General features: G+C 42.0%; 1 protein-coding gene across 9 annotated transcripts in view; it reads right to left on the bottom strand.

The window, feature by feature from the left end:
• Positions 1–2,071: 2,071 nt before the first annotated feature.
• The window catches only part of ZNF268 (zinc finger protein 268), a 33,338-nt gene continuing 19,240 nt past the window's right edge, over positions 2,072–16,169 (bottom strand). For all 9 annotated transcript variants that reach the window (NM_152943.3, NM_003415.3, NM_001165885.2 and 6 more), the window contains one exon: positions 2,072–14,760. In NM_152943.3, coding sequence (NP_694422.2) covers positions 14,742–14,760 — 19 coding nt within the window. In that variant the 3' untranslated portion in view covers positions 2,072–14,741. The remainder of the gene's footprint in view (positions 14,761–16,169) is intronic.

The following is a 16,169-nucleotide window of genomic DNA, read 5'->3' as shown; positions in this document are numbered from 1 at the left end:
CCAGTGGACACAGGTAAGGCACCATGACCAAGTGGTGTGACCCCTTTCTGTGCCTTCCTGAGGCACCTGTCTAGAGAATGAAGGGACATAATGGCTGTTCCAGTGGATTGATGGCTGGGAGGAGGGGCCAAGAGAGGTATGAGGGGTGGGGTTTGGCCAGCCCTGGGCTTTCTGGACTCCAGGGACAGCGAGGTGGGGGCTCAGGGCAGCTCCAGTGACAGCAAGGTAGAAGCTCAGGACAGCCCCAGGGACAGGGGTGGAGGCTCAGGTGCAGCCCCAGGGACAGCAAGGTAGAGCCTAAAACAGCACCAGGAGACTGAGAACTGAGACCAGGACTTCCAGACAGAGTGGAAATGACCACCCAATAGCAGTGGTGGCCCATGAAGAGCCCTACTTCCCTGACTCACCCTCTCGGGTGGGCTTGGGAGGCAGCTGTGGTCTGGAGAGAGTGGTGGATGGAGCATGCCTGTGTTCCTTTCCTAGGGCTGCTGTAACAAAGCACCACAAACTGAGAGGCTTAGAGCAACGATTTGTTGTCTCCGAGTTGGGAAATCCAGGAGACTGAGTCATGCTCTTTCTGAAGAGTGGAAAGGATTGCCCCCAGGCCTCTCCCCAGTTCTACTTGTTTCTTGGCTTGTGACATTGAAGCTTCAGTCTTCAGTAGCCTTCCTCCCTGTATGCATGTCTGTGTCCAAATTCCCCCTTTTTATAAGGACACAATCATAGTGGATTAAGGCTGGCTTTAATTACTTCATCTCACATTTATCATCTGCAAAGACCCTATTTCCATATAAGGCCGCATTCACAGCTACTGGGGGTCAGTACTTGAACATATGAATTTGGGGGATATAATTCAACCCCAGCAGTGTCTCTGTCTCTGCTGGTGATCACCATATCCCTGCTGGTGCCAAGTAATCATGGCCCCTCCCAGGGTGCCCCATCCTTGTACCTGGTGCTCCAGGCAGTTCACAGGAGGGCCTAACTGCTGGGTTTGGGGCTGGCATTGGGATCCCTTGCCCAGTAAGGGCTGGATCCAGACTGTTCTGGGGTTGAGGTGCTGGTGTTTTGAAGGCAGGAAAAACCAGAGGCTGGTCCTTCTCTGGACGGTGAACCACAGCAAGGGACCTCTCATGGGGGCTCCCATACCTCCTGTGACCTGGGCAGAAAGTCGTACAGTCCCAGGCCTCCAAAGGCAAAAGCCCCTTCTGACTCAGATAACATCCCTCCCACTCTGCTTGCCTGCAGAGCCCCGGAGGTTTCTGGGGAGCTTCAGTGGAGCTGAATCATCAGGGTTGAGGCAGGCCCTAGCATTGATCGTTAGCAACCAGAGAGTGGAAGCGGTGTAGATGGCAGCGAGTTGCAGGTGGCCTCAGTTCTAACTAAATATTACAATACTAGCATGATTCCACTTCCTGGAGCTGGCCTCTGGGGAGCCCCAGGCTGGTGTATTTATGATAGGGTCTGTGTGGCTCATGAGGCTTCACGTGGGACTTGGGCCATCTCATGACCAGACAAGTGCCCCCACAGCTGGGTTACCTCTGCTGTGTGGCCTGGACACAGGTTCATGTGACTCACAAACTTTGAGTGGCACCTGGAAACGAGGTTCTGGGCTGGAACCTGAGTGTGAACCTCACTTGGAGGCTGTGTGATTGCAGGTGAATCATTCAATCACCTGAGCCTGGCCCTCCCCTCTGCACAAGGAACTAGCCATACCTAGCAGATAGCTGTGAGTCACCTGAGCAAGATAGCTGCATGGTGATGGTCAGAAAACACTGATTTCTCCTTATTGAAATGGGACAACCCTTGGATACCACGTGCCGAGCTATGAATTCCAGCAATGCAAGTTTCAAAAGACCCTGTGTGCCCTAAGGAGGCACTGCTGATCACTTAGTGTCTGTGAAGGCATCAGAAGGTGACCTGGACCTGGAATGATGAAACAGCCATGGGTTTAGGAGCTGGCAGATGGTGTGGCTGGAGCACATGTCTGGAATGTGGTTGGCCAGGCCCAGGCAGCACTGGGCTATGGAGGGACTTAAATGTGAGGCTAAGAGGGCTGACCCTGGTGAGGGAATGCTGTGGACTAGATTTTTTTATTGAGGTAAAATTTACACAATATAAAATTAACTTTTAAAAATGTACATTTCTGTGACATTTAGTCCATGCACAACATTGTGCAGCCACCACCTCTTAGTTCCAAAATAGTTTCATCACCCCAAAGGAAATCCTCCATCCATTAAGCAGCTGTCACACATTTCATCCTCCCTCCGACCCTTGACAACCACCAATATGCTCTCTTTGGATTTACCCATTCTGGGTATTTCATATAAGTGGTATCATACAGTATGTGACCTTTTTGTGGCCAGCCTCTTTCTGCACATTGCTTTTATTTTTATCTTTGTAGACATGGAGTCTTGCTATGCTGCCCAGACTGGACTTGAACTCCCAGGCTCAAGCGACCCTCCCACCTCAGCCTCCCGAGTAGCTGGGATTACAGGTGTGTGGCCTTGTGCTGGGTTCTCAGCACAATGTTTCTGAGGTTCCTCCACGTTGTAGCAAGGGTCAGTCATAGCAGCTTTACCATTTTACAGCGGTGTTCACATTTCTCCACTTCTTTGTCAATACTTGTTTCTGGTTTGTTTTTAAAATAATAAGACATTCTGATGGGTATGGAGTGTTATCTCATTGTATTTTTGATTTATATTTCCATGATGGCTAGTGATGTTGAGTATCGTTTCATATGCTATTTGCATATCTTCTTTACAGAAAAGTCTCTTCAAGTCCTCTGCCCATTTTGATATTGGGTTGTCTTTTTGTTGTTGGGTTGTAAGAGTTCTTTATATGTTCTGGATACTAGACCCTTATCAGGTATATTATTTTACAGTGTCTTTTCTCCTATATTCACCTTTTTTTTTTTTGAGACGGAGTCTCGCTCTGTCGCCCAGGCTGGAGTGCAGTGGTGAGATCTGGGCTCACTGGTTCCAGGTTCACGCCATTCTCCTTCCTCAGCCTCCCAAGTAGCTGGGACTACAGGCTTCCACTACCAGCCTGGCTAATTTTTTGTATTTTTTTGTAGAGACAGGGTTTCACCACATTAGCCAGGATGGTTTCGATCTCCTGACCTCGTGATCCACCTGCCTCAGCCTCCCAAAGTGCTAGGATTACAGGCGTGAGCCACCACACCCGGCCTTTTTTTTTTTTTTGAGATGGAATTTTGCTTTCTTGCTCTGTCACCTGGGCTGGAGTGCAGTAGCATGATCTCGGCTCACTGCAACCTCCACCTCACAGCTTCAAGCGATCCTCCTGCCTCAGCTTCCTGAGTTGCTGGGATTACAGGCACATGCCACCACACCCGGCTTTTTTTTTTCTCTTTTTTTTTATTTTTAGTAGAGACGTGGTTTCACCAAGTTAACCAGGCTGGTCTCGCACTCCTGACCTCAAGTGATCCTCCCACCTTGGCCTCCCAAAGTGCTGGAATTACAGGCGTGAGCCACCACACCCAGCTCCTTTTCACTTTCTTGATAGTGTCCACTGATGCCGAAAGTTTTCAATTTTGGTGAAGTCCAATTTACCTATTTTTTCTTTTGTTTCCCATGCTTCTGGTGTCATATCCAATAAATCATTGCCAAATCCAGTGCCAAGAAGTACATGAAAAGATTTTCAACATCACTAGCCATTAGGTAAAGGAAAATCAAAACCACAATGAGATACCATTTCATACATGTTAGAGTGGCTATTATAAAAAATATGGAGGCCAAGTGCAGTGGTTCAAGCCTGTAATCCCAGCACTTTGGGAGGCCAAGGTAAGTGGATCACTTGAGGACAGGAGTTTGAGACTAGCCTGGCCTGGCCAACATGGTGAAACCCTGTCTCTACTAAAAATACAAAAAATAGCCATACATGGTGGCACATGCCTGTAATCCCAGCTACTCAGGAGGCCGAGGAAGGAGAATCACTTAAACCTAGGAGGCGGAGGTTGCAGTGAGCTGAAATGGTGCCACTGCACTCCAGCCTGGGTGACAGAGTGAAACTCCATTTCAAAAAAACCAAAAAACTATTTGGGTGTAGTGGCACCTGTAGTTCCAGCTACCCAGGAGGCTGAGGTGGAAGGATCCCTTGAGCCCAGGAGGTTGGGGCTGCAGTGAGTTATGATCATGCCTATGAAATGAGAGAGAAACAAACTAATTAATATTGGCAAGTATGTGGAGAAATTGGAAGCCTTGTGCACTGCTGGTGGAATGTAAAATGATAGTTGCACAATAATGGAAATAATGTACTTCATGCCACTGAAGTGTACACTTAAAAATAGTTAAAATGGTAAATGTTCTTATTATATATATGTGTATATATATGTGTATATGTGTATATATATGTGTATATATGTGTGTATGTGTGTGTGTATATATACATATATATATATATATATATATATATATATATATATATATATATATATATATAAAATCACACATGAAAGTCTCCCTTGGAACTGATCCTGAAATAATTTCATGTGTGATGAAAGAACACCCTGCTCTCCTGGAGTGATAAGTGGCCTTTTTGTTCATGCTGGCATTATACATCCCAGGCTCTTCCACACACACCCAGCATAATTTCACCAAGCAGAGGGAGTACACTCTCCAAAGGCCCATTTGTGCCTGTTTCTATCATTATATCCTCCTATTTAACTCACTCCCTGCCCTCTACAAACCGTCATCAATCACAGATATGTTTGCTACCCCTGTAGTTTCTGCTTTTCCATAACATCATAGAAATAGGATCATACAGCCTTTTCACACTGGTCTCTTTCACTTAGCAATATGCCTATCAGATTCATCCATGTCCTGCATGGCCTCAGAGCTTGCTCTTGCTGAACAGGACTCCATTGCATGGATGTACCCCAGCCTAGTTAGTCATTCACCTATTGAAGGTTATCCTGATTCCTTAAAGTATTTGTCTGTTATGAAAAGAGCTGCTGTACGTGAGTACATGCTGGGTTTTGTTTAGATCAAACTCCTATGTTTTCAAAGCAGTTATCTAAATACCTAGGAGTGTGATTGTTGGCTCATATTGTGAAGCTTTGTTTAGCTTTGGGGAAAAGTCAAACTATCTTCCAAAGTGGCTATACTATTATGCATTGCACCAGCAATGAATGAGAGTTCCTGTTGCAATTGCAAATTTACTTATTTTTAGATTATAGTCACTTTAATAGATGTGCGGTGCTATCTCGTTGTTTTAATTTGCTTTTCCCTCATGACAAGTGTCACTGAGCATTATTTGGTATGCTTATTTGCCATCTGTATATCTTCTTTTTTTTTTTTTTGAGACGGAGTTTCACTCTTGTTGCCCAGGCTGGAGTGCAATGGCGCGATCTCGGCTCACAGCAACCTCCGCCTCCCGGGTTCAAGCCATTCTCCTGCCTCCGCCTCCGGAGTAGCTACCACTTGGTGGCAGAGTAGCGCCACCACGCCTGGCTAATTTTGTATTTTTAGTAGAGACAGGGTTTCTCCATGTTGGTCAGGCTGGTCTCGAACTCCGGACCTCAGGTGATCTGCCCGCCTCGGCCTCCCAAAGTGCTGGGATTACAGGCGTGAGCCACCGTGCCTGGCCACCATCTGTATATCTTTGGAAAGTATGTATTTGGATCTGTCCCCATTTTTAATTGGGTTGTCTTCTTGTTCAATTTTAGGGTTTTTTTTTTATATTTTGCATACAAACACTTTTTCAGATTTTTTTGAATGATTTTATTCATTACAAATTCCAATTATTGCTATACATTATTTCAAATATATAGGAAATCACTTGACTTTTGTCTATGGCCATCTACTTTGCCTTTTATTATCTCTATCCATTCCAATTAAGGCATGGAATGATGGACTCTATTTCAGTTTCGTTTTCCAAAATTATGGCATGGAAAATCGTAAGATTGAATTTCAGGGGTTCACTGGGACTGCAAGAGGGGGCACATGGCCATCACAAAACAGGAAGCACTGACCATCCAACACTGTGCCTAGGTAGTAAGGAAGGGGTGCAAGCACACACCTTGTCTAGCCTGCTTGCAGTACCTGCATTCTGCTCACAGACCTCTGGGTTGAATCCACAGAGGACCAGGCCTTCCTTCTACTCAGGACCTGGGGATCACTAGAGGCTGCATCACAGTAAAGACTGAGCTGCCTTCTCCTCAGGACTGACCTGGGGACCCTTGGCAGGGGGGAATCCACAGTGACAAACAGACCTTGCTTCTACTCAGGACCCGGAGACCCCCGAGGGCACTTCACAGTGATGACCAGAATTTACCTCATCTCAGGACCAACCTGGGGGATGCATCACACTGAGAACCAGAGCTTCCTTCTCCACTGGCCAACCTGAGGACCACTGTGGGGCACAACCACAGTGAAGACTGGAGCTTGTTTCTCTTCAGGACTGACCTAGGGACCCTAGTGGGGCAAATCCACAGTGAGGTTCTGAGCTTCCTTCTCCTCAGGACCAACCTGGGGACCCCTGGGAGGTAGATCACAGTGATGACCAGAGTATCCTCCTCAGGACTGACCCGTGGTGGGGGATGCAACCACAGTGAGGACTAAAGCTTCCTTTTCCTCACAACCTGGGGACCCCCTAGGGGGATACATCACAGTGAGATCCAGAGCTTCCATATCTGAAGACTCCTGTAGGGTACACCCACAGTGACGACCAGTGCACTTTCCGGACCAATCTGGGGCGATGTCATCTCACCTTTGGGATACATGGAGGCCACAGGAGGAAAAGATGAGGAAAAGTGAGGCCTGCACCCTGAGTGCTGAGGAGGGAGCTTTGCTGTTTCACTTTGCCCTGTAATATCTGAACAAGATTTATTTTAGGAAATCGTACCTCTATTGAGGTTTCCACTAGTCATCTTTATAGCAAGCCCAACTACTTTTTATACATATGGGTTTGTTTCTGGGGAGAAATCCCAGTACAAAAAAAGGGAGAAACACTGCGACAAAACACTGCAACAGTCCAGGTCAAAGTTGGGGATGAACAGCACCTGTGGGATCACCCTGGATCCCAAGAGGGAAGGGCAAATGTGCACCCTATGTGCTTGCTTTTATTAATTTTTTTTGAAGGAGTCTCACTCTGCTGCCCGGGCTGGAGTGCAATGGCACAATCTCAGCTCACTGCAACCTCCGCCTCTCCAGTTCAAGCAATTCTCCTGAGTAGCTTGGATTATAGATGCATGCCACCACAGCTGGCCAATTTTTGTATTTTTAGTAGAGACGGGGTTTCACCAGGCTGGTCTCGAACTCCTGACCTCAAGTCATCCACCTGCCTCAGCCTCACAAAATGCTGAGATTACAGGCATGAGCCACCATGCCCAGCCTTTTTATTAATGTTTTAATGGCCTGTGTTTCTAACAAGTAGTTGAAACAATGTTGAAAATTAAAGAGTAGACATGTTAAAACTTGCAACTTCATTTAAATTTAAATATATCATTTATACCAAAATCAGAATTTATTTAAGATTTATGGCTGGGTGCTTGGCTCACACCTGTAATCCTAGCACTTTGGGAGGCCAAGGCAGGTGGACTGCTTGAGCCCAGGAGTTTGAAACCAGACTGGAAAACATGGTAAAACCCCATCTCTACAAGAAATAAATAACTCTACCTGGCCCTTTAGCAAAGAATTAAGAAAAATCAATACAGACCAGTGGCTCACACCTGTAATCCCAGCACTTTGGGAGGCTGAGGGTGGATCACGAGGTCAGGAGTTCAAGACCAGCCTGGCCAACATGGTGAAACCCCATCTCTACTAAAAACACAAAAATTAGCTGGGCGTGGTGGCGTGTGCCTGTAATTCCAGCTACTAGGGAGGCTGAGGCAGGAGAATTGCTTGAACCCAGGAGGCAGAGGTTGCAGTGAGCCAAGAACACACCACTGCACTCCAGCCTGGCAATACAGCGAGACTCCATCTCAAAAAAAAAAAAAAAAATGCAAATACTATGCCATATAAGGAGCTTGAGCATCCACAGGGAGTATCTGTGGTTGCGGGGGGGTCCTCCATGAATACTGACAACTGCATACTTGCTACTCTACTGGCAGTTCCAAACATTTGTTTGTGGTTTATTTTGGGTTTCCTAATTACACGATCACATCTCCAATTCATGGCAGTTGTTTCTGCACCCATCCCTAATTCCTCACATTCCTTGTTTTCACACCTTGGCTAGATGTTACTCATTTCATAAAAGTGATGCGCATTCTTGTAATTTTGCTTTGTTTTTTACAGACAGGGTCTCACTTTGTTGCCCAGGATGGAGTGCAGGGGCATGATCATAGCTCACTGTAGCCTTGAACTACTGGACTCAAGCTAACCTCCTGCCTCAGCCTCCTCAGTAGGTGGGACTACCGGCACTTGCCACTACACCTGGCTGATCTTTTTTTTGAGATGGAGGCTTGTTCTGTCGCCCAGCCTGGAGTGCAGTGGTGCAATCTTGGCTCACTGCAACTGCCACCTCCTAGGTTCAAGCAATTCTTCTGCCTCAGCCTCCCGAGTAGATGGGATTACAGGCACGTGCCACCACACCTGGCTGACTTTTGTATTTTTAGTAGAGACGGGGTTTCACCATGTTAGCCACACTGGTCTTGAAATCCTGACCTCAAGTGATCTGCCCACCTCGGCCTCCCAAAGTGCTGGGATTACAGGCATGAGCCACGGCGCCTGACCACACCTGGCTAATCTTTTTAAAAAGTTTTTGTACAGACAGGGTCTCCCTATATTGGTCAGGCTTGTCTCGAACTCCTGGGTTCCAGCAATCCTCCAGCCTCAGCCTTCCCAAGTGCTGGTATTACATGGATGAGCCACTGCACCTGGCTAATTTTACTTTAAAGGAATCTTTCTACTATTTTATCATTAAGTATGACATTTGTGTTTTCAGAACATATATTCCCTACCAAGTTACAGGAGTTAATTTTAATTCCCAACTTAATAGTATTTTAGTGTCATCTATGGGTGTTAAATTCCATCAAGTGATTTATCAGCATATACTGAGATAATCCTTATGAGTTTTATCTGGTAGTTAATTAAAATATTTTCTAATATTAAATCTTCCAAACATACTCTTCTGTTTTTTGAGACAGGGTCTAGTTCTGTCACCCAGGGTGGAGTACAGTGGTACGATCTCAGCTCACTGCAACTTCCGCCTCCTAGATTCAAGTGATTCTCCCGTCCCAGCCTCCCAAGTAGCTGGGATTATAGGTGTCAGTTACCATGCCCTGCTATTTTTTTGTATTTTTAGTAGAGAGGGGTTTCACCATGTTGGCCAGGCTGGTCTCAAACTCCTGACCTCAGGTGATCCACCATCTCAGCCTCCTGAAGTGCTGGGATTATAGGTGTGAGCCACCGTGCCTGGCCCCATATATCTCTTTTTAAGTGGGCATACTGCCATTATAAATAATAGTGATTCTGCTGGTAATGAACAAAGGATGCTGGATCCACTAATAGTCTGTTAAACCTAATATCATGACTTTCTTGTTAGCTATACATTGGTTTGCTATAATTCCATTTAGAATTTTTAAACCTATGTTCACAAATATGGATTTTTAAACCTATGTTCACAAATATGGATTTTTAAACCTATGTTCACAAATATGGTTTGCAAGTCATTTTTTCTCCTAAATTTCTATTTGATGGGGAAGTTGTAAAATATTGGGGTTATTTTTCCTTGGATTTTCCTTATAATAACTATTCCTGAAAAGTCTCTGGAATGTCTTTCTTTTCTGGGGCTGGGGTAGAAGGACTAGATAGATTTACAAACCAGTAACTCAATTTCTGTTTTGTAAAATTTTCATTTCATTAAATAATAAGTCCTAATCAAGTATTATTCTTTCCCACAGTATGTGAGTGCTGTCCTCAATACTGTCAACACTTCTGGCTTCTACCAGGCAAGGCTGCATGTAGATTTGCATCTGAAAAAACAACAAACTAAAATCTAACCCTAGGTAGTAGTAAACTGAATATAAACTTTCTCTTATGAATTTATTCTGTCTTCTTTGGTACATCAATAATAATATACACCTTTACAGTATTTCCCAGATTGGGGGATACACTTTAGCAAGTATCTGCGATTATTTGTTTATGTAAGATGTCCCTTCCCTTCTGTGAATCATCATTCTTCACCCCAAGTATCTTGAGATTGGATTCTGTATAAGCAGAATACAACAGTTAGGCATTCAGGTATCATTAAATTCCTCCGCTTCAAGGATGAAAATTTCTTTGGGTATCTAATAGAGTACAAAGCAGAAGGTGTTTCAGAAATATTTGCAGTATTGAATCCGCATATTCCTCCAAGATAGCCCTAATCTAACTGGCAGGGTCCCACTCTTCCCAGATTAATGCCCACTCACATAACAAACCTGATGAGGTAGTGAAGAAAACTAACTTTGTGAGTAAGCAACTGGCAGAGTTTTTCACCACTGTGACTCTATAGCTACATGTAACTAAGTAGTATCACTGACACATAATCTTAAATTGAAGTTTTAAGATCATTATTCTCCATGTTATACATGGGTATCAAAAGCATTCCCCTCTTGACCACTCCAGAATTCTGTTTAAAATTTTTCAATGACAACTTATCCATTTCCCCAAAGCCTCAGTGAGCACATGATGCCAACAATTCATTTCATGACTTCATAGCATGGGCCAAGTTTCTTGCTTAAAAGACTTCCATCCTGTCTTGGGAAACAACCATTTCCAAATATCCACATATCCTTGCAAGTTTCTGCCTACTCCTCTACCACCCATTTCTGAAGCCATCTGATTTAGTAAGCTGTATGCAAAAGATACACAATGGCTAATGCAATCAAACAAGGAATGTATTAAAAGCACACCCAATAGCTCAAAATAAAAGACAAGTGAACAAAGTTAAGAAAATGACAGTAACAAAAGCTGTTCTGGGAACCTCTATTGAAATAGCTACTTATTACATCAACATGCTACCACAGAACAAAAGCTCATGTTGCTTTTCTGAACTTGAAAAACCCATTAACAATGTACAGTTCTGAGCCTCAGCTGACCATAGTGCTCATGCCAAGTCCTGAGCAGGGCATCTTGAATGGTGGTTCCCTCATGACTACATACACCGTTAGGGAATGTTTCGTTAAGAGGAAATCAAGATGTTCTAACCTGTGAAGGTAGAATAGATTCCAGGCTACACAAACACATGAAGTGTGCCTTATATTGATTACTAAAGAGGTTGCTGCCAAGACTGCTTCCAAAGGGCAGAAGATAGCCCTAAAAAATGTTTGCAGTGTGGAAATGCATTTTTAGTAAGTCATATTCTAGTAACAAGTTGCATTTGGTAAGACACAAAGAAACAATGTTGGTATGCAGAGTAGAAATCTCTGGAAGATGATATTGTCATATCAGAGATATTGTCAGTATCAGAGATACTGAAATCTCTGGAAGATGATTTTTGTCTCACATATGGCATTCGCAAGTAAAATGCCAAACTGCAAAATTCATATTATGTAGTACACATAGGAAGATATCTAAATATCCCTGTAGGCTCTGGGATGTTATTTCTTATTCTTAACCTCCTTACTAGATTCACTTGTACAATGAAATAATCTGTATCTTATTATTTATAATTGAGAATTTTCTCAAACCTTTTCCTGAAATTTTGGAACACCTGGAATAAAATTTCTTAAAATGATTCCTAAAAGAAATAATTCTTCAAAATTAATATTAAGATATAATAACAGGTTGGTTTTTTTTTTTTTTTTTTTTTTTTTTTTTAGAATGAAGCTTCTAAGGTGAGGTTAACAGTCCAGCTGTGGTTTATTTGGTACATTCATAAGATGTTCACTCCTATATATATTTTTTCCCTAGGGGTTTCTCATTTCTAGATTTACACTTTCCCTTATAGCATGGTCCCTCCAAGGTATATGCTTCCGATACATAAAATGTTTGTAATTTTGTTAATTCTGCCATTCATTAGCTCAATAATTTCTCTCATTAAAATTCTGTAAACTATGAATTTCAAAGAAGTCTATTCTATATTCATCTGGTTCATGAAGTTTCCTCTTTGTGAATCTTATTTTAGTAAAATGACTTTACAACGTTTAACATGGTTCCTCACCTGTATGAACTTTTTAAAAAAAGGTATGACTTGCTGCTAAAAATTTTCAGAGTGGTTACTAAATTCAGTTTTCCTGTGTATTGTCTACTATCTTTTTGCATGTAAAGAACAGCTTTCTGTGGATGCCTTTCCATATGCTGTGCATTCATAAAGTTTCTATTCAGTATGAGTTTTCTGGAAGATGACAAGATGATTCCACTTACAGAGTTTCTCTTTATATATGATTGTTTCTATCTCTTGTGAATCCACTTTTCAGAGTTTCGTAAAATTATCAATGTTTGTCATCTACATGAGTTCTCTGATGCATAATGAGCTGTGACTTCCAACAAAAGGCTTTCCCACATTCAGTGCACTTACAAGGCTTCTCTCCTGTATGTGTTCTCTGATGTGCACTGAGAATTGATTTTTGAGAGAAGGTTTTCCCACATTCATTGCACCCATAGGGTTTCTCTCCTGAATGAGTTCTTTGATGTACAATGAGTTGAGAATTCCTAATGAAGGCTTTTCCACACTCACTGCATTCATATGGTTTCTCTCTTGTGTGCATTCTCTGGTGTACAAGAAGGCGTAATTTCCCACTGAAGGATTTCTCACATTGACTGCATTTATAAGGGTTGACCCCTGCATGAGTTCGCTCATGTACAATGAGTAGTGATTTCCAAATGAAGGCTTTCCCACATTCATTACATTCATATGGTTTTTCACCTGAATGAGTTCTCATGTGTATAATTAGGTATGACTTGCTGCTAAAAGCTTTCCCACATTCACTGCACCCATAAGGCTTTTCCCCTGCATGAGTTCGCTGATGTGAAATGAGCTGGTCTTTCCTATTAAAGGCTTTCCCACATTCACTGCATTCATAGGGATTTTCTCCTGTGTGAATTCTCTGATGCACAATGAGTTGTGAATTGAAACTAAAGGATTTCCCGCATTCCCTGCACTCATGTGGTTTCTCTCCTGTATGAGTTCTCATATGTATAATAAGGTATGACTTGCTCCTGAAGGCTTTCCCACACTCACTGCATCCATATGGTTTTACTCCTGTGTGACTTCTCTGATGTACAATGAGCTGGGACTTCAAACTAAAGGTTTTTGCACATTGACTGCATCCATAGGGTTTTACTCCAGTGTGCACTCCTTTATGTACAATGAGCTGTGATTTGAACGTAAAGGCTTTTCCACATTCATTACAACTATAGGGTTTCTCTCCTGTATGAGTTCTCTGATGTACAATCAGGTTTGACTTTGTATTAAAGGCTTTCTGACACTCACTACATTCAAATGGTTTCTCCCCTGTATGAGTTCTCTGGTGTATAATAAGCTGTGACTTTAAACCAAAAGCCTTTCCACAGTCGGTGCATTCATAAGGCTTCTCTCCTGCATGAGTTCTCTGGTGTGAAATAAGCTGGTATTTCCGACTGAAGGCTTTCCCACATTCATGGCATTCATAGGGGTTCTCTCCTGTATGAATCCTCTGATGTATAATGAGCTGTGATTTAAAACTGAAGGCTTTCCCACAATTGTTGCATTCATGGAGTTTTTCTCCTGTATGAGTCCTTGTATGTATAATAAGGTATGACTTGCTCCTGAAGGCTTTGCCACATTCATTGCATACATAAGGTTTCATTCCTGTGTGACTTCTCTGATGTACAATGAGCTGTGATTTCAAACTGAATCCTTTACCACACTGAATACACCCATAGGGCTTTACTCCTGTGTGAATCCCCTGATGTACAATGAGCTGTGACTTGAATGTAAAGGCTTTTCCACAATCACTACAAACATAAGGTTTCTCCCCTGTATGGGTTCTCTGATGTACCATAAGGTTTGACTTTGTATTAAAGGCTTTCTGACATTCATTGCATTCATATGGTTTCTCTCCTGTATGAATTCTTTCATGTATAATGAGCTGTGATTTTAAACCAAAAGCTTTCCCACATTCATTACACACATATGGTTTCTGTCCTGAATGAGTTTTCTGGTGTGAAACAAGCTGGTCTTTCCTACTGAAGACTTTCCCACATTCACAGCACTCATAGGGATTCTCACCTGTGTGAATTCTCTGATGTATAACAAGCTGTGAATGGAAACTGAATGTTTTCCTGCATTCACTGCATTCATGTAGTTTCTCTCCTGTATGAATTCTCTGATGTACAATGAGGTATGATTTACTACTGAAGTCTTTCCCACATTCATTACAACCATAGGGTTTCTCTTCGGCATGAGTTTGCTGATGCACTAGAAGGTATGACTTGCTGCTGAAGGCTTTCTCACAACAGCTGCATCCAAAGGGTTTTTCGCCCATATACATTTGTTGGCACATAAGTTGCGATTTCTTATTGACGGTTTTTCCAGATTCAATACTTTCACAGTATTTTATTCCAATAACAGTTTGCTCATGTTTAGAATGGAAGAATGATTTTCCATGTACCTGAAACCCATTAGGATTATTTCTAGCATAATCACTAGTGAAATCTATATATTTCAAACTCTTTCCATGCGTGCCACATTTATGAGGTTTTTGTCTTGAAAGATACTTTGTACTAAGAAGACATAGTTTTCCAAATGTAGTGCATTCAAAGCTTTTTGCCGTACTTCCCAGCTTGTCTTTATTTTCCTGATGCCAATCCATAAGATCATCAATTTTCCAGACTGTGTCTAGAAATGAGAACAATTGGTCACATGTTATAAATCACATGATTGCGGTATACTAGAAAGTTGCCTATGAAATAAGAACAATTAGTCACATGTTATAAATCACATGATTGTGGTATACTAGAAAGTTCCCTGTGAAATGCCATATCATGAGGTTTTTAGTTTCAGATATCAGATCTGAATATAAATAAATTCTCAGGTATAAAAACACTCAAACTACTGGGTACTGAGAAAAAGAAAAACCAAACTGAAGATAGGCATAGTAAACTGATAAGAAGTTTAAAAGTTTTGCATATTGGATAAAGAAGGCAAAATAGGCAAAAGGAACAATGAAGATAATATAAACATGTCATTAGGGATCTATGAACATTAGATTTATTCAAAAAATAATTAAATACCTACTATGTGCCAAACACTATGCTAACTTCTAGAGAAATGGCAGAGAACAATGCAGATTACTTCCCAGTCCTCCTGGGAATAACATCTCAATACCTAGTAAATGGATAAAAATAAACTGAGAGGGAACATCATTCCTTAACAGGACAAGAAGCAGTTCTTAAAACCATCCAGAGAAATCAAAACTGAAACAAAAACAAAGCTTTCTACAATGTAACAAAAATTAGAATGCCATCAGACTTCTCTTTAGGAAAACTAGAGGACAGAAAATAGAGCAATGAGGAATAAAGTCAAAACATTTTCAGATGCACAGGTCTCAATGTTTGTATCACCCTTTTCCAGGAAGCTACTCTTGAGTTGCTCCAAGAAAAGAAATGACAGAGGATATAGAAAATAAAATCAAAGAGGAGATCCCAGGATAAAAATTGCACAGCAGGCCTTAAAAAAACTAAGCTACTCTGAAGCAAGTCAGAAAAACTTAGCAGTCAATATCACTAGGAAGAAAAAAGGAATACAATTAATAATTTGGCTGAAAGTATCAGCCAAGAATATTCAGATACTGAAAGGAGAGTCTGGAATTGAATACATGATGAAAACATTAATGGTAACAAAATTAAATTAGCAAAAAATTAACTACAGAAAAAATACAAATTTAGAAACAAAAATAAATCACTGTATACTTGCATGATTTCCCTATAAACAGGAATTACAGTCATACCAACATAAAAACTAAAGACAGATTTAACCAAAAATATGAAATAACTGTATCAGAATGATGGAGGCATGGGAACATGAGAAGAGACATGTCTCCATCATGAGTGTGTATATGGTGGGAAGGTATGGAGGGAGGAGAGTGAAAGAGAAGTAAATTACCTTTCTATACTGAGCAATCATTAGGGGAGAAAGCCAAGGTCTAGCAGAATAAGCTGGTTATTTAGAAATATGGAGGTAACTACCACAAGAGTTAAAAAGAGACTGAAGATGTTTCCTCTAGCAGGCATGGAAAAGAATCGGCA

The sequence above is a fragment of the Homo sapiens genome, chromosome 12, assembly GCF_000001405.40.
Source record: "Homo sapiens chromosome 12, GRCh38.p14 Primary Assembly".
Lineage (NCBI taxonomy): Eukaryota > Metazoa > Chordata > Mammalia > Primates > Hominidae > Homo > Homo sapiens.
The sequence above is the reverse complement of the archived record's forward strand: the minus strand, read 5'-3'. Positions and strand labels throughout refer to the sequence as shown.